This window comes from Homo sapiens, chromosome 12, assembly GCF_000001405.40.
Source record: "Homo sapiens chromosome 12, GRCh38.p14 Primary Assembly".
NCBI classification, from domain to species: Eukaryota; Metazoa; Chordata; class Mammalia; order Primates; family Hominidae; genus Homo; species Homo sapiens.
Window position 1 is genome coordinate 6,490,393 of NC_000012.12, and position 21,917 is coordinate 6,512,309.

The following is a 21,917-nucleotide window of genomic DNA, read 5'->3' on the forward strand; positions in this document are numbered from 1 at the left end:
TTCTTCAGGGCACCTTGCACTTAGCAGAGTCCCAAATATTTTATTTTCTCCACTCTAGCACCACCAAATCATGTAAAGTATACAGCCACTCACATTTCACATCAACTTCTCCATTCTTATGCATAGCTCCTTCCAGCCACCCCTCTGAAAACTGACTCTCCTAAACATTTCCGTAAGACCCAGGATCATGTTTTCATATATACCCATCAATCCATTTATCCAAAACCCACTTGTAATTTAACAAGTGCTTTTTATTTTTATTGAAGATGGGGTCTTGCTATGTTCCTAAGGCTGGCCTCCAACTCCTGGTTTCAAAGGATCCTCCCACCTCAGCCTGCAGAGTAGCTGGGATTATAAGTGTGCTCCAACCACCATGCCCCGCAACAAGTATTTATTAATCTAACTTCACTTTTATGGAGTTTTTGTTTTTTAAAATATAGAGATGGGGTCTTGCTATGTTGCCCAGGCTGGTCTTGAACTCCTGGCTTCAAGCAATCCTCATGCCTTGGCCTCCCAAAGTGTTGGGCTTACAGGTGTGAGCCACTGCACCCAGCCCTAACTTCACTTTTTTTTTTTTTTTTTTTTTGAGACAGTCTCACCCCAGTTGCTCAGGCTGGAATGCAGTGGCATGATCTCAGCTCACTGCAGCCTCAAACTCCTGGGCTCAGGTGATCTTCCCACCTCAGCCTCTTGTGTAGCTGGGACTGCAGGCACGCAGAACCATGAGTAGCTGGAACTACAGGCATGCAGAACCATGCCCAGCTAAGTTGTTTTTTTTTTTTTTTTGAGACAGAGTCTTGCTCTGTTGCTCAGGCTGGAGTGCAGTGGCACGATCTCGGCTCACTGCAAGCTCCACCTCCCAGGTTCAAGTGATTCTCCTGCCTCAGACACCTGAGTAGCTGGGACTACAGGTGTCCGCCACCACTCCTGGCTAATTTTTTTGTTTGTTTGTTTTTGTATTTTCAGTAGAGACAGGGCTGTGTTAGCCAGGATAGTCTCGATCTCCTGAGCTCGTGGTCCGCCCCCCTCCGCCTCCCAAGGTGCTGGGATTACAGGCAGGAGCCACCGCACCCAGCCACTTTATTTTTAGTAGAGACGGAGTTTCACCATGTCGCCCAGACCAGTCTCAAATTCCTGTCTCCAAGCAATCCTCCCACCTCAGCCTCCCAAAATGCTGGGATTACATGTGGGCACCATTCTGCCCAGCTGTAATTCTTAAAAATTATTATTAAAAAAGAACAAAACACATAGATGCCCTAGACTCAACTCAGCTCTACTGATCAATCTTTAGGGGTTAGGACTAGGCTTTTGAAATGTTAAAACACCCAGAAAACTGATGACCAGTCAGGCTTAGTATCCGCCATCTCTACCATTCATATGGTACTTAATGTTTCATATTTAAATGGAAAGGACACCTCACACTTTTTTGTTTTTCCTATAGTTCCTACTCAGAGAATATGCCTAATAAATATTTTATGAGAGTAGTACAGAAGTATGACTCCATTTTTCTCTTATATTTCATTTCAGTGTGGAAGGCTCTTTAGAAACACTATTAACATAACAGCATTATGTCAAAAAGCGCCAATAACATTCTCACCAACTTTTCTTTTTAAAGGAATTAGGTATAGCTAGACTGTAAAAGGCAAGTGGTGTGAAGCCCAAACCTAAGATCCTAAGATCTAGGATGAGTCAAGACTTCATAGTCTACATGAGTAGAGGCAGCATCTAGAGGAAAACAAAAGTATGTGGCTATCAAATTCCAAAGAAGCCCCATTTTATTACAGAGAAAATACAAAGCCGTTTCCTCACAGGGAAAAGTACAGTTTCCCTTCTCCAGGGTGACAGATGAGCCTTTTCCGAAGTTCTCAGCTTTCTCTTCTATCGAAACTTCCCATGTCGGTTAAAGTGTTTGTAGAGATAGCGGATGCGTTTATTAAGGTTGTGCAGGTCATCAGCGAACATTCTACTTCCAACCATTTTCCTCTTTCGGATACAACGTTGCAATTCATTCCCTTTCCAACCTCGAAGCCATATGGGCCCCCTGATCAGTTCTTTGGGGTGCTTTTCAAAGTTTCCTGTGTAATGTGAGAGAACACATTAGATCCAAGACAAGAGAACTCATCCTACACCAGCTAAGCTTTCAACCCACGGTTGCATCTTGCTGAGCAGCACCTATAGACAAGGAACATTACAGTACAGAACAATAGCACAGACTCTGGAGCCAGACTGCTTGGGGTTAAAATTCTGATGCTGCCATTTATTAACTTTGGAAAAACTGTTTATTTTTACTTATGAAGTAAAAATTATACGAGGGGACTCAGAACAGTGCCAAACACAATGTAAACAGCTACATAAGTGTTTGCTCTTACTATTGAGCACAGTACCACTCTCTACACAGGAGGAAAAGATAGTCGTTACAGCCTAATTGCCATTCTGAAATTGTGTACCACGTCGAAGGTCAAGTCTTACCCAGGATCCCGATGTTGTCATACACTCCGAACATGGCCCTTTTCTCGTTCCAACGATCAACCACTTTGGGGGGCGGGAGAGTGAGCCTTATACCGATCAATCTAGGCACACCTGGGGATGGGGAAGGGAGGGAATTAATCTGAGCCGCCTATTATACTACGAAGCAGTTATCGGGGTGCCTACATCAGCCACTTACCAAGAGAGAAGCTTCTGCACGCCAGAGGCACCCAGTCCCACAGGCGCCTACCTGCCCCGGATAAGAGGTTCCCTGCCATTTCTCTAGTCTCCCCCCTTCAACAGCACACCAAATAAGCCCAAGAAGATGACAGGAACCGTCCCCGCCAACTTCACACGAGTACTAAGGCGAAGACAGCCATCTTGGGCCTTACCCAGGCAGCTGTGGGCGCACCGCCCACCTACGCCCCATCCGCAACAGCCACGAGCCCCGCCCCCCGGGTTCCGGCAGGAGGGGCCTCTACCACCCTTCCCGCCTCAGTGCTTCCGGTCCGCCTGCCGGAAGTTTTGGAGCGCCGGACAAGCTGAGGTCCGCGACTCGTCGCTAAGATTCCCCAAAACTGAGATTTCAAGAAAATTCACCCTTTCCGCTTTCTTTGGCGTCCTTCAACCGTGAAGGAAATGAAGGTTGAGAACCTGGAACCCGCTTCCAATGACCAAGCCCTTTCTCTGTGCCTCACAACAGTCTTCCGCTGTAGCTGTTTTTATTACCCCTATTTTACTACTGGGGAGGAGATTTGAGGTCCTGAAAGTGAAGTGACTTGCTGGACGTCACTTAGCAGAGGAGATGGCGAAACCTGGATTAGAGGCGATGCCTTCTAACTCCCAGCGTGGACTTGCCTCCTTTCCTGGGGGTGACTGAATGCCCAGCCAGGGACGCGACGTCTCTGGCCAGCAGAAATACGGCCTCCTCCCCGCCGACTGGGCAAAGGGGGACCTTGCGGCCAAGGAGGGATTCGCAGGCGGGCCGGGGGTGGGAGCGGGGGCCGGAGCCGGAGCCTTGGCCCGCCCCCGGGCGGCGCTGTGATTGGCCGGCCGCTCCGGCGGGCGTCGCGATTGGCCGTCCTGCAGCCGTTGAGATTTGAACTCGGTATTTGTGGCTTTGCCCGCGCGTTGCCAGACTCAGAGGCGGCCCTTTGCCTCTGCCTGCCGGGGATTGGCCGGATTCTCCGCCGACTTGAAAACTGCCTTGCTAATTGGTGCGTGTTGTGCACGCGTGTTTTTTCCTTTTCATTTCAGCCTGACTGCCGGAATCAGAGCCGCGGGTGAGATCCCCAGGTAAGATGTGGTGTTGCAGGTCGTAAAAGAGTAGGAAAGTCGAGTACATGGCAGTGTGACCCAGTCTTGGGCAAAATACAATAGGCCTAGTAAGTATATCCCTGGGGCGCGATGTGTGAGAAACTGTAAGTCTGACAGATCCGCAACGGAAGTTGTTAAGCAAATCGCTTAACAGATCCGCAACGGAAGATGTTAAGCAAATCGCTTAACAGATCCGCAACGGAAGATGTTAAGCAAATCGCTTAACTTTCTTACTTCAATTTCCGCTCTGTAAACTCATTTGTATTATTATGCACCTCATGGGATTGAGGTTAGGATACTTAGATCAGATATGATACATGCAAACAGCCTAACAGACTTGGCACAGGATAAATAAATCATCATTGTTAATGCTCTTACCATTCTGGTGCAGGAAGCCCACTAGCCCATGCTGGGGCACTGTTTTGGCCTCAGACGAGATCAGACCATTCTCTCTATACTTAAGGAGCTTTGCACATAAAAATGGAAATAATAGTACTTTGCACATTAATATGCCACTTTATAGTTCTTTAAACACCTTCGTACTGCTTGATTTGTTTGATCATCAGAGCAACTTTGTGAAGTAATCAGAGTTTAGTAACCCTGTTTTTACAGATAAAGCCCAGAGGTTTAAGTGTCAAGACCAAGTGCCAAAGTCACTACTAGAATTAGTTTCTAGTCCAGGGTCAATCTCAGATCCCGTAAGATAATGTTACTAGCTTGCTATAAAACTAAAAACCATTATATATGTTGGGGGTGGGGAACTAACAAAACCAGATGATGTTACTAGCTTGCTATAAAACTAAAAGCCATTATATATGTTGGGGATGGGAAAGTAATAGAACCAGATACGAAGACAGGTCTTGAATATAGACCCTGACTTTTTCACTGTTTGGTTTCTAGCCCTGTGAGCCTGTAGGAGTAGAATGGCTCCCCAAATGTATGAGTTCCATCTGCCATTATCCCCAGAGGAGTTGTTGAAAAGTGGAGGGGTGAATCAGTATGTTGTGCAAGAGGTACTGTCCATCAAACATCTTCCACCACAGCTTAGAGGTAAGAGTCCATAGCTGTCACTGTACCTAGCTCTTTCAAAGGACCATCTCACATGGAATTGCTACATTGTCATTTCTGTTCCACTACACCAGGAAGCATCATAAGAGCAAGAAACATGTTTTTCCTATTTTGCTGTTTTATCCTAAAATTGCATGGGATGCATGACCCAAAGAGTACATTCATTAACTTCCTTTTCTGGATTAGTCAAAAACAGTCTTGGTGTATGTGATTACTCTTTGGGGAAAAGTTATTTTCCATCTTTACCCCTTACTGTGTGTCAAAATTAAGTCCTGGTGGATTTAAGAGTTATAGGAGTGGATCGCTTTTTCAGAATGTCTCGGACTTAACTCGACCTGTTTTTGGTAATACCTTTTTGGAGTCTTTTTGGATGTGCAATTATGGGGACAAAAACCCATAATATATATGTACCACTGCAACACTGAGCAATATATGTACAGTGCAGTCACCTACTGAAACCTGTAAATGATCAAAAGCACCTTTTGCATTACCAGAAAGACTTCATAATGTCCTTGTACTTGTTGGGAGCGGTCTTGTAGCAGTTAGCTTGCTTTGGAGAGGTATAGAGATTAAAGACTGGAGCCAGGCTGCCTGGATTTGAATCCTGGTTCTACCACTCTGACCTTAGACAAGTTACTTAATTGTCTCAGTGCCTTGGTTTCGTCATCTGTAAATATAGAGATAATAACCAATTCCTTTGTTATCACCTACAAGAAGAAGGGTTGGTTAATGCAGCAGCTCGACAATATGGTCCTAGCTTGTCTCCTCTTGGCTTTTCTTTCATGGTTGCTAGATTGCAACTTCTTTTTGTTTTTCTTTTTTTTTTTTTTTTGAGACAGGGTCTCACTCTGTTGCCCAGACTGGAGTGCAGTGATGCGATATCGGCTCACCACAACCTCTGCCTCCCCAGGCTCAAGCGATTCTCCTGCTTCAGCCTCCCAAGTAGCTAGGATTACAGGTGCACGCCACTACCACCTGGCTAATTTTTGTATTTTTAGTAGAGACGGGATTTCACCATGTTGGCCAGGCTGGTCTTGAACTCCTGACCTCACATGATCCACCCACCTTGGCCTCCCAAAGTGTTAGGATTATAGGCGTGAGCCACTGCACCAGTCTAGATGGCAGCTTCTTCCTCTAATGTCCAGAAGTGGAAAAAGGAATTTTCTTTTTGTACTTTTTATTCTTTATTTTATTTTGAAAGACAAGGTAAAGACTCTCTTGCCCAGGCTGGAGTCCAGTGGCATGATCACGGCTCACTGCAGCCTCAACTTCCCAGACTCAAGCAATCCTCTCACCTCAGCCTCCCAAGCAGCTGGGATCACAGACATGCACCACCATACCTGGCTAATTTTTAAATTTTCTGTAGAAACAGTGTCTCCCTATGTTGCCCAGGCTGGTCTCGAACTTCTGGGCTCAAGCAGTCTTCCCGCCTCAGCCTCCCAAAGTGCTGGGATTGCAGGCTGGAATGCAGTGGCCTGATCACAGCTCACTGCAGCCTCAATCTACCAGGCTCAAGCAGTCCTCCCACCTCAGCCTCCCAAGTAGCTGGGACCACAGACATGTACCAAAGTGCTGGGATTGTAGGCATGAGGCACCATGCTCGGCCAGACTTTTTTGTTAAAAACTAAAACACCTACACACATTAGCCTAGGCCTACACAGGGTCAAGGTCACCAAGAAGTCACTAGACGATGGGAATTTTTCAGCTGTATTATATTTTTATGACACCACTGTCGCATATGTGGTCTATTGTTTACCAAAATGTTACAGGGCACAGGACTGTACAGGTAAGAGAAATAGAATTACCCAGACTGGTTTAACTGATCAAGCTTATTACCTAGGAGCCTCCCTAAACTTGAGCATATCAACCATTTGGTAAGCAAGGAAGAAGGCAGAGTGTGGAGGTTGCCTAATGGATGGCAAACCAACAGTGTCCACAGGTATACTATTCTGTCCATATCATGTGGATATATGTGTCACCAATTGAACATGCTGCATACTATGACAAACTACTCTTCACTTATTATAATGATGCATCATTTTTTTAAATGGTCACCTTTTTTTTTTTAAGTTCTGGAGTACACGTACAGGATGTGCAAGTTTGTTACATAGGTAAACGTGCTGTGTTGGTTTGCTGCACCTATCAACCCATCACCTGGGTATTAAGCCCAGCATGTATTAGCTATTTTTTTCTTATGCTCCCCCTCCCCCCATTCCACCCTCTAACAGGCTCCATTGTGTTGTTCCCCTCCCTGTGTCCATGTGATCTCATTGTTCAGCTCCCACTTGTAAGTAAGAACATGCAGTGTTTGGTTTTCTGTTCTTGCATTAGTTTGCTGAGTCCCTGCAAAGGACATGATCTTGTTCCTGTCACTTTTTTGTTGTTGTTGTTGTTGAGACTGAGTCTCCTTCTGTCACCCAGGCTGGAGTGCAGTGGCGCAATCTCAGCTCACTGCAGCCTCCGCCTCCCGAGTTCAAGTGATTCTCCTACCTCAGCCTCCTAAGTAGCTGGGATTACAGGCAATGCCACCACGCCCGGCTAATTTTTGTATTTTTAGTTGAGACAGGGTTTCACCATGTTGGTCAGGCTGGTCTCCAACTCCTGACCTGATGATCCACCCGCCTCGACCTCCCAAAGTGCTGGGATTACAGGCGTGAGCCACCGCGCCCAGCCACTTTTTTTTTTTTTAAAGAGTCTTTTGTTTTTTGGAGACAAGGTCTCATTTTGTTGCCCAGGCTGGAGTGCAGTGGCTCCATCCGAGCTCACTGCAACCTCTCGGGCTCAGCCGCCCGAGTAGCTGGGACTACAGGCATGTGCCAACATGCACTGCTAATTTTGTGTTATTTGTAGCAACGAGGTTTTGCCATGTTGCCCAGGCTGGTCTCAAACTCCCGAGCTCAAGCGATCTGCCCACCTCAGCCTCCCAAAGTGCTGAGATTACAGGTGTGAGCCACTGCACCCAGCCAAGAGTCCTTTTTAAAACAATTGCATTGCTTTGATGATTTTGGTGTTTAGAATCCTGAATACAACTTCTCCTATAAATAAGATCAAATCATTTAATTCATTTAACAAGTATTTACTGATCATGTGCTGTGTGCCAGACATTGTTCTAAGCATTGATAATACAACAGTAAACAAAACAGACAAAATGACAAAGTTCTTCCTTTCAAGGTTCTTAACAAGTAATAAACAAGTAAATATGTAGTACAGTAGGACCCTTATCCCAGGAGATATATTCCAAGACCCTTATTAGATGCCTGAAACTGGAATAGTACCAACCCCTGTATATACTATGGTTTTTTCCCTCTACCTGCCTACCTATGGTAATGTTTAATTTACAAATTAGATACAGTAAGAGATTAACAACAATTCTTTTTTTTTTTGAGACGGAGTCTTGCTCTGTCACCGGGCTGGAGTGCAGTGCTGTGATCTCAGCTCACTGCAACCTCCGCCTCCCAGGTTCAAGAGATTCCCCTGCCTCAGCCTCCTGAGTAGCCGGAACTACAGGCGTGAGCCACCGCACCCAGCTAATTTTTTGTATTTTAGTAGAGACGGGTTTCACCATGTTGGCCAGGATGGTCTCGATCTCCTGACCTTGGATCTGCCCACCTCGGCCTCCCAAAGTGCTGGGATTACAGGTGTGAGCCACTGCGCCTGGCCTGTTTAACAATAATATTAATAAAATAGAGCAATTGTAACTATGCCAGCATCACTACCCTTGCACTTTGGGGCCATTATTAAGTAAAATAAAGGTTCCTTGAACAGAAGCCCTGCAACAGTTGATCTGATAACCAAGGTGGCTACTAATGGGTGAGTAGGGTTGCATATACAGTGTGGATATGTTGGACAAAGGGATGGTTCACATCCCAGGCAGGAGGCGGCAGGGCAGCACCAGATTTTATGCTACTCAGAATGACACACAACCTACAATTTATGAATTGTGTATCTCTGGAATATTTCTTTCTTTCTTTCTTTTTATTTTTTTAAGATAAGGGTCTTGCTTTGTTGACCAGGCTGGAGTGCAGTGGCTCAATCTCAGCCCACTGCAACCTTCACCTCCTGGGCTCAAGCAATTCTCCTGCCTCAGTTTCCCAAGCAGCTGGGACTACAGGTAAGTGCCACCACGCCTGGCTAATTCTTGGGGGGTTTTTTTGTTGTTCTGGAGACGGAGTTTTGCTCTGTCGCCCAGGTTGGAGTGCAGTGGCAAGGTATCGGCTCACTGCACCCTCCACCTCACAGGTTCAAGCAATTCTCCTGCTTCAGCCTCCCAAGTGGCTGGAATTACAGGTGCCCACCACCACATCCAGCTAATTTTTTTTGTATTTTTTAGTAGAGCTGGGGTTTCACCATGTTGGCCAGGCTGGTCTCGAACTCCTGACCTCAGGTGATCTGCCCAACTTGGCCTCCCAAAGTTCTGGGATTATAGGCGTGAGCTACTGTGCCCAGCCTATTTCTGGAATATTTCATTTAATATTTTCAGACTTGAGATTGACCACGGGTAACTGAAACCCCAGAAAGTGAGAACACAGATTGGTGAGGACCACTGTGTGTAAGATGGTTGTAAGAGCCAAAGAGAAAAATAAAGAAGACAGTGTGGCCAGGCGCAGTGGCTCACACCTGTAATCCTAGCACTTTGGGAAGCCAAGGTGGTTGGATTGCTCAAGCTCAGGGGTTTGAGACCAGCCTGGCCAACATGGTGAAACCCCATCTCTACCAAAATTACAAAAAAGTTAGCCAGGCGTGGTGGTGCACACCTGTAGTTCCAGCTACTTGGGAGGCTGGGGTGGGAGAATTGCTTGAGCCCAGGAGGCAGGGGCTGCAGTGAGCCATGATCATGCCACTGCACTGCAACCTGGCCACAGAGCTAGACCCTGTTTCAAAAAAGAAAAAAAAAGAAGTGTACTGGGAATGGTGGCTTGTCCCTGTAATCCCAACCACTTGGGAGGCAGAAGCAGGATTGTTAAGGCCAGGAGTTCAAGACCAGCTTGGGCAACATAGTCTCTAAAATTAATTATACAAAGCTTAAAAATAAATAATATAAAGAAGAAGATAGTAGGACCTGTCATTTCATGTTGGATCATCAGAGAAGGCTTGCTGTTACGTCACGTTTGAGCAGAGACCTTAAGAAAGTAAGGAAATAAACTATGCAGATTGTTAGGGAAGAGCATTCCAAGCAAACAGAAAAGCCTATGCAAAGGCCTTGAGGTGGGCAAATGCCAATAGAGTTGGAGTGCATTAAGCTAGGAAAAAGAGATTAGGTAGGAAGTGGTACAGATTATTCTAGAATCTTGCTCCTCAAAATGTGGTCCTCAGATCAGCAGTGTTAATATCAGGATCTCATGATCTGGGAGCTTATTAGAAATGCAGGATGTCAAGGCCCAGGATGTCAAAGCTGCTGAATCAGGAAATCTGTATTTTAAGAAGATTCCCCCAGGCAATTTGGATGCAATTATAAGCTTGAGAAGCACTGATCTCTAGAGCCTCGTAGATCATGGCAAAAACTTGAACTTCAGTGTGAATGAACTTGAAAGCCATTGGGTTTTGAGCATGGGAGTGACATGGTCTGACATTTTAAAAGATTCACTGGCGACTGTGTTGAGCAGAGACTATAAGAGGCAAGGAGAGAAGCAGGGATACTAGTTAAGTGGCTAATACAGTAATACCAAGTAGATTGGACTGGAGGGATAGCAGGGGAAGTGGTGATAAAACGACTCAGGATATATTTTCAAAGTAGAGCTTTTACAGGAATGCTGATGGATTGGATTGGATTATAGGGTTAGTAAAGGAATCTGAGATGAGAATGATTACAAGGCTTTTTTTTTTTTTTTTTGACAGTCTTGCTCTGTTGGCTCTGTCACCCAGGTTGGCGTGCAGTGGCGTGATCTTGGCTCGCTGCAACCTCTGCCTCCCAGGTTCAAGCAATTCTCATGCCTCAGCCACCTGAGTATCTAGGATTACAGGTGTGCACCACCACGCCTGGCTAATTTTTTTTTTTTTTTTTTTTTTTTTTTTTTTTAGGCAGAGTCTCGCTCTCTCGCCCAGGCTGGAGTGCAGTGGCACCATCTCGGTTCACTGCAAGCTCCGCCTCCCAGGGTCACGACACCTGGCTAATTTTTGTATTTTTAGTAGAGATGCGGTTTTGCCGTGTTGTCCAGTCTGGTCTTGAACTTCTGGCCTCAAGTGATCTGCCTGCCTCGGCCTCCCAAAATGTTGGGATTACAGGCGTGGGCCACCACACCCGGCCTTACAAGGCTTTTTGACTTGAGCAACTAGAAGAATGAAGTTGCCATTTACTGAGATGGGGTAGCATATGGGAGGGAGAGGTTTAGATTGTTGGTTATGTGAGTGCAGAGTTCAAGGGAGAGGTTGTCAGCTAAAGATACACATTTAGGATTTAATACTCAGCGTGTAGACAGCACTTAAAGCCATGAGATTGCAGTGAGTGTAGATGGAGAAGAGCAGCAGTTTGAAGACCAAGACCTGAGACAGTCCAGCATTTAGAGGCTAGGAGGATGAAGAAGAACCAGTAGAAGAAATTAAGAAGCAGTCATTGGGGCAGAAAGCGAATGAAGGAGCTAAATGGACGCTAAATAAAGAGAGTGTTTCAAAAACAAAAGAGAGGTCAACTGCAGATTAACTACTGGATTTATTGATGTCATAGTCACTGGTAACCTTGACAAAGCTGTTTCAGGAGATGGTGGGGGCAAAAGCCTGCTAGGAATAGGTTTTTAAGAAAATGGAATGACAGAGATTAGAGATGATGAATTTACATAATGTATTTCTTTTAAGATGGGCAGCATTATGTGTGTCTATATTGAGTAGGAATGATCAGAGAGGGAAAAGCTGATGCTGCAGAAGGAAGAGGGAACAGTTGTTGGAGCAGTGCCTTTAGTAGGTAAGAGAGTACGTGATCTGGTACACGGGGAGGAGATGGCTTTATCAGAACATGGACAGTTTATCCACAGTAGCAAAAAAAAAAGGCAGAGTGTATGTATGGGCATAGATGCAACTAGTGCAGGTAAATATAGAGCTTGGGGCAGTTGAAAGTTCTCTTCTGTCTGCTTCTGTTTCCTCAATAGGAAGGGAAAGCCTTTAACTGAGAGTGAGTTTGGGAAGAAGGTCATGGTGTTATGAGCAGAGGATAGGTGTGAAATAATTGCCTAGAAGAAAACGAATAGACTTGGGAGTACGAATGCCCACTTCAGGTTAGTAGTCATGAGTTTAACGTAAGACTAGTCAGCTTGTTTCTGTGTTTTTCTCAGGCCATTTTTATTTGTGTGGTCACATGAATGGAGTAACCAGAAAGTTGGTTTAACCTAGATTTGCCAGGGGAGTATGTGTTGTTGTTGTTGTTAATTAGTGGAATAAGTTACAAGTATCACAGTATCTAACAATAGGGGAATAGTAAATTAAGATAGATATAAGGCCGAGTGTGGTGGCACTGCCTGTAGTCCCAGCTACTCAGAAGGCTGGGGCAGGAGGATCGCTTGAACCCAGAAGTTTGAGGCTGCAGTAAGCTATGATCCTGCACTGCACTTCGGCCTGCGCAACACAACAAACCCTGTCTCAAAAAAAATTGTTTACAAAGGTGTTTTTGTTGTTGTTGTTGTTGTTGCTTTTTTTTTGAGACGGAGTCTCACTCTGTCACCCAGGCTGGAATACAGTGGCACTATCTCGGCTCACTGCAACCTCCTCAGTTCAAGCGATTCTCCTGCCTCAGCCTCCTGAGCAGCTGGGATTACAGGCGCATGCCACCACACCTGGCTTTTTTTTTTTTTTTTTTTTTGTATTTTTATTAGAGACGGGGTTTCACCATGTTGGTCAGGCTGGTCTCGAACTCCTGACCTGATGATCCACCTGCCTCAGCCTACAAAGTGTTGGGATTACAGGCGTGAGCCACCACGTCTGGCCTACAAAGGTTTCTAATACACTTACTGTAATGCTAAATTTTAAAAAGCATGACAGAGAAGTGAATATGTGATACAAGCTCAACAATGGAAATACGATGTATAGAAAATGGACTGAGAAAAATATGCTGTTATAACTGAATGCCTGAGACTGGATATTTATAATGAAAGAAATTTATTGGCTCACATTTTTTTCTGGAGACTGGGAAGTCCCAAATCAATGCACCAGTAACTGGCAAGGGCCTTCTTGCTGCATTGTCACAGGGCAGAAGGCAGAAGGGCACAAGTGAACCCACTCCCCAGAGCCCTTTTTATAATAGTATGAATATATCGGTGAGGGGTTGGGCACGGTGGCTCACACCTGTAATCCCAGCACTTTGGGAGGCCGAGGCGGGCAGATCACAAGGTCAGGAGTTCGAGACCAGCCTGGCCAATATGGTGAAACCCCGTCTCTACTAAAAATACAAAAAATTAGCCGGGTGTGGTGACGCGTGCCTGTAATCCCAGCTACTCAGGAGGCTGAGGCGGGAGAATCACTTGAACCTGGGAGCCGGAGGTTGTAGTGAGCCGAGATCGTGCCACTGCACTTCAGCCTGGGTGACAGAGCGAGACTCCATCTATTTTTTTTTTTTTTTTAAAAAAGATGGTGAAACCCCGTCTCTACTAAAAAATAGAAAAATTAGCTAGGTGTGGTGGCAGGCACCTGTAATCCCAGCTACTCGGGAGGCTGAGGCACTGAATTGCTTGAACCCAGGAGGCAGAGGTTGCAGTGAGCTAACATCATGCCACTGCACTCCAGCCTGGGCGACAGAGCGAGACTCCGTCTCAAAAATATGTATATATATTTGTGAGGGTGGAGCCCTCATAACCTAAACACCTCCCATTAGACTCCACCTTCCAACACTGTCATGTTGGGGATTATATTTCCAACACATGAATTATGAGGGGCACATTCAAACCATACAGCGTGCTAAGTGTTGTTCTGACTGGTTTGCATGGACTATCTCATTCAGTTTTGACATATATATATACATATATATATATATATATATATATATATATATATAGATATAGATATATATATATATATATACCATTGGTCCTTGAACAACGTGGGGGTTAGGGATGACAACCCCTGTGCAGTCAAAAATCTGCATATGTAAGTTTTGACTGCCCCAAAACTTAAACACTTATAGCCTACTGTTGACCAGAAGCCTTACAAGTAACATAACAGTTTTTTTATTTTGTTTTGTTTTGTTTTTGACAGAGTCTTGCTCTGTGGCCCAGGATGGAGTGTGGTGGCGCGATCTCGGCTCACTGCAACCTCCACCTGCTGGGTTCAAGTGATTTTCCGGCCTTAGCCTCCCAAGTAGCTGAGACTACAGGCATGCAATATTGCACCTGGCTAATTTTGTATTTTTAGTAGAGATGGGGTTTCACCATGTTGGCCAGGCTGGTCTCAATCTCCTGACCTCAAGTGATCTGTCCACCTCGGCCTCCCAAAGTGCTGGGATTACAGGTGTGAGCCACCGCGTCGAGCCTTAATACATATGTTTTTTATGTTATGTATATTATTTACTATATTTTTGCAGTCAAGCTAGAGGAAATGTTATTAAGAAAATCATAAGGAAAATACATGTTCAGTATTGTGCTGTATTTATCGACACCATAAGTTTACATGATGAATCATGTAAAATGGCAGGCAACCACAGCTGCAGACCTCCGTCCATGGTACCATATGAAGCAATTTGGCTTTTCTTGTAATGTCATGACTCTTTTCTGCTTCTTGGGAACACTTCCAGCATCACTAGTGGCACTTCATTATGGGTCCCATGGTGTTATGTAAGGTTTATGATACTGCTTTAGACACATGAAAAATACCTGAGGAACCACAGGAGATCACTTCTTGCTGCCATATGCAATTTTTGTTTTGAGACAGAGTTTCACTCTTGTTGCCCAGGCTGGAGTGCAGTGGCATGATCTCGACTCACTGGAACCTCCGCCTCCCCGGGTTCAAGCGATTCTCCTGCCTAAGCCTCCCAAGTAGCTGGGATTACAGGCATGCACCACCATGCCTGGCTAATTTTGTATCTTTAGTAGAGACAGGGTTTCCCCATGTTGGTCAGGCTGGTCTCGAGCTCCTCACCTCAAGTGATTCACCCGCCTCGGTCTCCAAAGCGCTGGGATTTACAGGTGTGAGCCAGCGTGCCCGGTCTGCCATATGCAGTTTACTGGAGAGACGAACTGCTCACTGGAAGATGATTAACATCTCAGAGTTTTTAAGCAGATACTTGCAACATTTGAGCTCACCATAGTATCGACAAGAGGCGGCTATGAAATTATTACAGTACTACAGTGTGTACTGAAGTGAATTTTATGCAGTTATGATTTAATACTGCATCTTTAGGCCAGGTGTGGTGGCTCGCGCCTGTAATTCTAGCACTTTGGGAGGCCTAGGCAGGTGGATCACCTGAAATCAGGAGTTCAAGATCAGCCTGGCCAACACGGTAAAACCCTGTCTCTACTAAAAATTCAAAAATTAGCCAGGTGTGGTAAATATAAAAATTAGCCGGGTGTGGTGGCATGCATCTGTAGTCCCAGCTCCCAGGGTGACTGAGGTGGGAGGATCGCTGGAACCTGGGAGGCAGAAGTTGCAGTGAGCTGAGATTGTGTCACTACACTCTAGCCTGGGTGACAGCAAGAACCTGTCTCAGAAAAACAAAAACAAATAATATTGCATCTTTATATTTATTTCCGTTTCTCTTGGGCTGTGAATGATGTCATGTACTGTCTGTGTTTGTGTGTGAGGTTTTTTGGTGTTTTTTTTTTACATGGGGTCTCACTGTCACCCAGCCTGGAGTGCAGTAGTGTGATCACAGCTCACTGCAGCCTCAGCTTCCTAGGCTCAAGCAATCCTCCCGCCTCAGCCTCCAGAACAGCTAGGACTACAGGTGCACCCCACTGTGCTCAGCTAATTTTTTATTTTTTGTGGAGATGGGGTCTTGCCATGTTGCCCAAGCTGGTCTTGAGCTCCTGACCTCAAGTGATCCTCCTGCCTCAGCCTCTCAAAGTGGTGGGGTTACAAGTGTGAACTATCACATCCAGCCTGCATCAAGTTTTGATAAGTTTTAACTTTATAATAGACATATATATTTGGCCGGGCACGGTGGCTCAACCCCTGTAATCCCAGCACTTCAGGAGGCCAAAGTGGGCGGATCACGAGGTCAGGAGATCGAGACCATCCTGGCTAACACCGTGAAACCCCGTCTCTACTAAAAAAGTACAAAAAATTAGCCGGGCATGGTGGCGGGCGCCGGTAGTCCCAGCTACTCGGGAGGCTGAGGCAGGAGAGTGGCGTGAACCCAGGAGGCAGAGCTTGCAGTGAGCCGAGATCGCACCACTGCACTCCAGCCTGGGCGACAGAGAGAGATTCCGTCTCAAGAAAAAAAAAAAAGACATATATATTTTATGGTAGTAAATGATAAAATAGACTAGGATCTACATAAATTTTATGCGTTCATGACATATGTAGCTTTAAAAAAAAATTAGCCAGATATGGTAGAGCATACCTGTTGTTCTAGCTACTCAGGAGGCTGAGGCAGCCCGATTGCTTGAGCCCAGGAATTTAAGGCTGCAGTAAGCTGTGATTGTGCCATTGCACTCCAGCCTGGGAGACAGAGTGAGACTTTGTCTCAAAAGAAAGAAAGAAAAAATTCCAGTATATTTACTGAAAAAAATTAGCATATTAGTGGACCTACACAATTCAAATCGTATTGTTCGAAGATTAATTGTAGACATACATAGGTGCCTTACTTTTCTCCAGTGAGAGGGCCTAAAGGCAGTAATACTCTAATAGAAATGAGTGCAAGTAATGCCTAGAATTTGGCTTCTACATACCATTATTCCGTAATAGCCAGGATTCCACCAAGAATGGTTGATTACAGGACTGGGCCAGGGAAAATACAAGATGAGCCCAGAACATCTTTTATTTTATTTATTTATTTATTTTTGAGATGGTGCCTCACCATGTTGCCCAGGCGGATCTTGAACTCCTGGGCCCAAGCGATTCTACTGCCTCCACCTCCCAAAGTGCTGGGATTACAGGCTTGAGCCCAGCCCATCTCATGATACAAGACAGTCAGGGAACAAAAATGAAGGGAGGCTGGGTGCAGTGGCCCATGCCTTTAATCCGAGTACTTTGGGAGTGTTGGGAATAACACTCAAAATCCTAAGGAAAATGAACATTCAAACAAAGGATTCTTAGGAAAGCAATTTTACTTCTCTGCAGAGGGGTGCCTCTCCTTGGCCAGTCGCCGTGAAAGCACACCTGAACAAAGGGGCACGAGAGCCTTTATTCCTGACGCAAGTCCTGCCCCTGTACCCTTTTCCCATTTGCCGGGGTCGGGTTGCACAATTAGCCCAATTGGCTAAACATCTGAACTTTCTTTAGATAAGGTGGGCACATAAGGGAGAGAGGGGAAAAGGTGAAGGGGTGTCTGCAATGATCTAGAGAGCTAGTCTTCTTTCCAAATAAGGGAAGGAATAGTAATAGTAAGAAATAGTAAGAAAGAAAATAAAGAAATAGTAATAAAGGAAAGCTAGTCTTCTTTCCAAATAAGGAAAGGAATGTGAGCTGGTACTGATAAGCCTGGTACTGTGGCGTGTCCAGGCATGTAACAAAGGCAGAAACGAAAAAAAGAGAAAAAGGAAAAAAGGTTGTGGGGGAGTGCTATGAATTAAAGAATAGAGGATTGATCAGGCTATTTGAAGAGAAACCTCATCATATCCCACAGGAGGCTGAGGCAGCAGATCAGTTGATCCCAGGAGTTCGAGACCAGCCTGGGCACCAAAGTGAGACCCTGTCGCTACAAAAAATTAACAGAAAAAAAAATTAGCTGGGCCGGGCGCAGTGGCTCACGCCTGTAATCCCAGAACTTTGGGAGGCCGAGGCAGGTGGATCATGAGATCAAGACCATCCTGGCTAACATGGTGCAACCCCGTCTCTACTAAAAATAAAAAAAATTAGCCAGGCGTTGTGGCACGCACCTGTAGTCCTAGCTACGTGGGAGGCTGAGGCAGTAGGGAGTAGGCAGTAGGATCGCCTGAGCCCAGGAGGTCAAGGCTACAGTGAGCTATGTTTGCACCACTGCATTCTGGCCTGGGCAACAAAGCAAGACCCTATCTTGAAAAAAACAAAAAAATGGAAGCATGTTCAAAGGACACAGGCCAAGTTGAAGGAGATCGCAGAGACCAAGTATGGGACAATTTGAGCAGGAAAATAAATAGTAATAGTAATGGATTAAAGCACAGAATAAGACAAATATCCCTAAGTCCATTCTGCTATAAATAAGTGAATAACTAAATAAAGGGAAAGGGACAGCTAATCGTTACAATAGCATTCCCATTAGTAAATGTAGAAGGAATAATAGAGATAGAAAATCACCATTTAGTAAACACCACAGCAGTAATTGTGGCAGGCAAGAATCATTCATGGATGCTTCAATTAGTGGGCAAAAATGTGATGTGAAACAGGACATTTACGTAGTCTGAAAGTATCTTCCCACAAAAATACTGGTTGCAAAGGGGAAAATAATAATGTTACAGTGGAGAAATGTGGCAGACACTACGAAGTGATCAAAGTTAACATCAGCAGTAATAAGACATTCACTTCATGCACCTCTTGATACGATGCCTGAGGACCAACCCTCCCTTCTGCTGTAATCTTACGAAAATACATAACTTCAATATAATCGCGAGAAAACAGGCCAACCCAAATTGAGGGACATTGTACAAAATAAGTGACAAGTACTCTTCAAAGAAGTGTCAAGATGATGAAAGATAAAGACTGGAGGAGAGGAAGGAGACCTGACAACTAAGTGCATTGTGGGATCCTGAAGCAGAAAAAGGACACAAATAGGATAAACTTTTTTTTTTTTTTTAAAAGATCCTGAGTTTGTGTTCCCTCCTAACTACTGTAAGTTGGACAAGTCATATAACTACTCTAAGGTGTAAAGTAGGCGTGGTACTGTCTGCTTTTGCTCAGGTGTGGTGAAGCTCAAACAAGGCTTTAATTGTAACACAAATATAAGATATCATCATCATTATTTTATTTTATTTTTTTTTGAGATGAGACGGAGTTTTGCTCTTGTTGCCCAGGCTGGAGTGCAATGGCACGATCTTGGCTCACTGCAACCTCCACCTCTTGGGTTCAAGCAATTCTCCTGCCTCAGCCTCCCTAGTAGCTGGGATTACAGGCGCCTGCTACCACACCCAGCCAATTTTTTGTATTTTTAGTAGAGATGGGGTCTCACGATGTTGGCCAGGCTGGTCTCAACTTCTGACCGCAGGTAATCCACCCGTCTCAGCCTCCCAAAGTGCTGGGATTACAGGCGTGAGCCACCATGCCCGGCTCTCATCGTCATTATAGGTTACATTGAAGTGAACTGTTTGTCTCTTTTTTGTGATTCTACCAATAAAAGCAATAAACCTAGTTTTCTGCCATGGATAGAATTTACTGAAAAGGTTTCTCTTCCCTCCAAATTGATTTGTTTTTTCCATCTTCATAGCTTTTCAGGCTGCCTTTCGAGCTCAGGGGCCCCTGGCTATGCTGCAGCACTTTGATACTATCTACAGCATTTTGCAGTAAGTGAAACACCCAACTGGTACTTTAAAAAGAACTGGTGACTGTTTGTCCTAACTGTGCATGTTAGTCCTGAAATTCCAAGTTATAGGTTCACTGATAAATGCCTCTGGATATTGATATCTCTACTGATGAGCATGTACCCAGCTTGCCACCGTATTTATTCAGTTGAACAATTTCACGTGTATTTTTAAACATTCGATTCCACGGGTTAGATCTGATCTGTTAGAAGGGGCTCTGCAGGCTCCTTCCTGTCTCACCCCCACACTTTCTTTCCCTCATAGTCACTTTCGAAGTATAGATCCTGGCCTCAAAGAAGATACTCTGCAATTCCTGATAAAAGGTGTTTATGGGTCAGGGGGTAGGGGATGGAAGGTGTTTGTTATCGTTTGTTTGTTTGTCTGTTTGTTTGTTTTTCCTACATTTTGTCAGCCACATGATGATATCAAGGCTGTTGTGATTCAGTTGGTTTGGCTAAGCCCAGGGACCTTTGGCCTGTTAAAGGTCTGTAATCTTGGTGGGCGATACAGAGTTATGTGTGTTCACTGTAAGGGCAGACCAACAAGAACTTTTTCCTACTTTTGAGCTACCTCTTTTTAATAGGGGTGATTCTTCCAGTTGCTGGAGAGAAATTGTGGTAACTGGAGTGAGAGAGTAGGAACAGGGCATGTTCAGGGTATCAGGGCCAAGGGTCCTAAAGGACTTAGCTTGTGTTATGGCCACTGAGAGATGAAACACAGATCTTTGGTAATCTGATGGCTGCAAGTGCTGGGTGTTTTGAAGTTGGGGTATATGAAAGAAGTGAGTGAAACTGACTCCAAGATTCTGCCCCTCACAGTGGTATCCCGCCACTCCCAGGAGCTTCCAGCTATCCTGGATGATACAACTTTGAGTGGATCAGATAGAAACGCCCATCTAAATGCCCTCAAAATGAACTGTTATGCTCTGATACGTCTCCTGGAATCCTTTGAGACCATGGCCAGCCAGACAAACCTTGTGGACCTGGACCTTGGTGGGAAGGTAATTTGGAGTTTTGGGCTCACGTTATATGGGGTCTGGGGAGATAGGGGAATAGATGGAAAAGAAGGGAATCCAATGATCCACAAATCCTTTCTGTCCTCATTGAGAATTTAGGAGAAAGAACTCAAAAGTGTCACACGTTTTCTTCCTGGACAAGTAGCGCTGTGGAACTTGTAATATTTCTTCCGTATTACCTTCTATGTTGTCTTGGTACTAGATTGTTTGGGCACTCAGACTGACAGATCTTGACCCACTTTTTTCCCTTATTTTTTCCTCAATGTATACATGATCCTTTTTAGGGTAAGAAAGCTCGGACCAAGGCAGCCCATGGCTTTGACTGGGAAGAAGAGAGGCAACCAATTCTTCAGCTTTTAACACAGCTACTTCAGTTGGACATCCGTCACCTGTGGAACCACTCAATAATTGAAGAAGAATTTGTCAGGTGGGTAGGGAGGATGGCTACAGATAATACTGAGCTGTGAGAGTGAGGCTCTGTTGATAGATATGCCGTTTTTTTGGTTTTGTTTTTTTTTTGTGGGGGGACAGAGCTTCACTCTTGTCGCCCAGGCTGGAGCGCAGTGGTTCAATCTCGGCTCACTGCAGCCTCTACCTCCTGGGTTCAAGCAATTTTCCTGCCTCAGCCTCCCGAGTAGCTGGGATTACAGGTGCCCGCCACCACAAGCTGATTTTTGTATTTTTAATAGAGACGGGTTTTGCCATGTTGGCCAGGCTGGTCTTGAACTCCTAACCTCAGGTGATCTCCCTGCTTTGGCCCCCCAAAGTGCTGGGATTACAGGTGTGAGCCACCACGCCCAGCCAGAAGTCTATTTTTAAAATAAGTAAAATAAGTTTGATGGAAGAAGGTTGTGATTTTAAATCAGCTACTCTAGGCCCGGTGCGGTGGCTCACGCCTATAATCCCAGCACTCTGGGAGGCCGAGGCGAGTGGATCACCTGAGGTCAGGAGTTCAAGACCGGCCTGGCCAACATGGTGAAACCTTGTCTCTACTAAAAAAATATGAAAATTAGCTGTGCATGGTGGTGTGTGCCTGTAATGCCAGCTACTTGGGAGGCTGAGGCAGGAGCATCACTTGAACCTGGGAGAGGGAGGTTGCAATGAGCTGAGATCGCACCATTGCACTCCATCCTGGGCGACAAGAGCAAAATCCCGTCTCAAAAAAAATAGATAGGGCCAGGCGCGGTGGCTCACGCCTGTAATCCCAGCACTTTGGGAGGCTGAGGCAGGTGGATCACGAGGTCAGGAGATCGAGACCACGGTGAAACCCCGTCTCTACTAAAAATACAAAAAAAAATTAGCCGGGCATGGTGGCGGGCGCCTCTAGTCCCAGCTACTCAGGAGGCTGAGGCAGGAGAATGGCGTGAACCCGGGAGGTGGAGCTTGCAGTGACCTGAGATCGCGCCACTGCACTCCAGCCTGGGCAACAGAGCAAGACTCCATCTCCAAAAAAAAAAAAAAAAAAAAAGATAGATAGATAGATA

At 45.3% G+C, this 21,917-nt stretch overlaps 2 protein-coding genes and 1 non-coding gene across 3 annotated transcripts in view, besides 3 other annotated features; 2 read left to right on the forward strand and 1 right to left on the reverse strand.

The window, feature by feature from the left end:
* Nucleotides 1-1,493: 1,493 nt before the first annotated feature.
* MRPL51 (mitochondrial ribosomal protein L51) lies at nt 1,494-2,870 on the reverse strand. The gene is made up of 3 exons (NM_016497.4): nt 2,666-2,870; nt 2,470-2,580; nt 1,494-2,075 (listed from the first exon to the last, which is right to left on the reverse strand). The coding sequence occupies exons 1-3, from the start codon at nt 2,742-2,744 to the stop codon at nt 1,879-1,881; spliced, it is 387 nt and encodes a 128-aa protein (NP_057581.2). The 5' UTR covers nt 2,745-2,870; the 3' UTR covers nt 1,494-1,878.
* Nucleotides 3,088-3,137: an enhancer, noted in NCBI's record as "active region_5862". NCBI's record gives its function as "activates an Ori minimal core promoter by ATAC-STARR-seq in GM12878 lymphoblastoid cells {active_cell/tissue: GM12878}" and the evidence as "EXISTENCE:reporter gene assay evidence [ECO:0000049][PMID:35858748]".
* Nucleotides 3,305-3,902: an enhancer, noted in NCBI's record as "NANOG-H3K27ac hESC enhancer chr12:6602863-6603460 (GRCh37/hg19 assembly coordinates)". NCBI's record gives its function as "activates a minimal SCP1, AML or CMV promoter by ChIP-STARR-seq in primed H9 embryonic stem cells {active_cell/tissue: H9 hESC(primed)}" and the evidence as "EXISTENCE:reporter gene assay evidence [ECO:0000049][PMID:30033119]".
* Nucleotides 3,338-3,667: a silencer, noted in NCBI's record as "silent region_4166". NCBI's record gives its function as "represses an Ori minimal core promoter by ATAC-STARR-seq in GM12878 lymphoblastoid cells {active_cell/tissue: GM12878}" and the evidence as "EXISTENCE:reporter gene assay evidence [ECO:0000049][PMID:35858748]".
* NCAPD2 (non-SMC condensin I complex subunit D2) overlaps nt 3,710-21,917 on the forward strand; it is a 37,854-nt gene continuing 19,646 nt past the window's right edge. The window contains exons 1-6 of the mRNA NM_014865.4: nt 3,710-3,762; nt 4,684-4,833; nt 19,325-19,400; nt 19,683-19,741; nt 20,237-20,418; nt 20,718-20,860. Of these exons, the coding sequence (NP_055680.3) occupies nt 4,707-4,833; nt 19,325-19,400; nt 19,683-19,741; nt 20,237-20,418; nt 20,718-20,860 (587 nt within the window). The 5' untranslated portion in view covers nt 3,710-3,762; nt 4,684-4,706. The remainder of the gene's footprint in view (nt 3,763-4,683; nt 4,834-19,324; nt 19,401-19,682; nt 19,742-20,236; nt 20,419-20,717; nt 20,861-21,917) is intronic.
* On the forward strand, nt 19,830-20,159 carry SCARNA10 (small Cajal body-specific RNA 10). The gene has a single exon (NR_004387.1).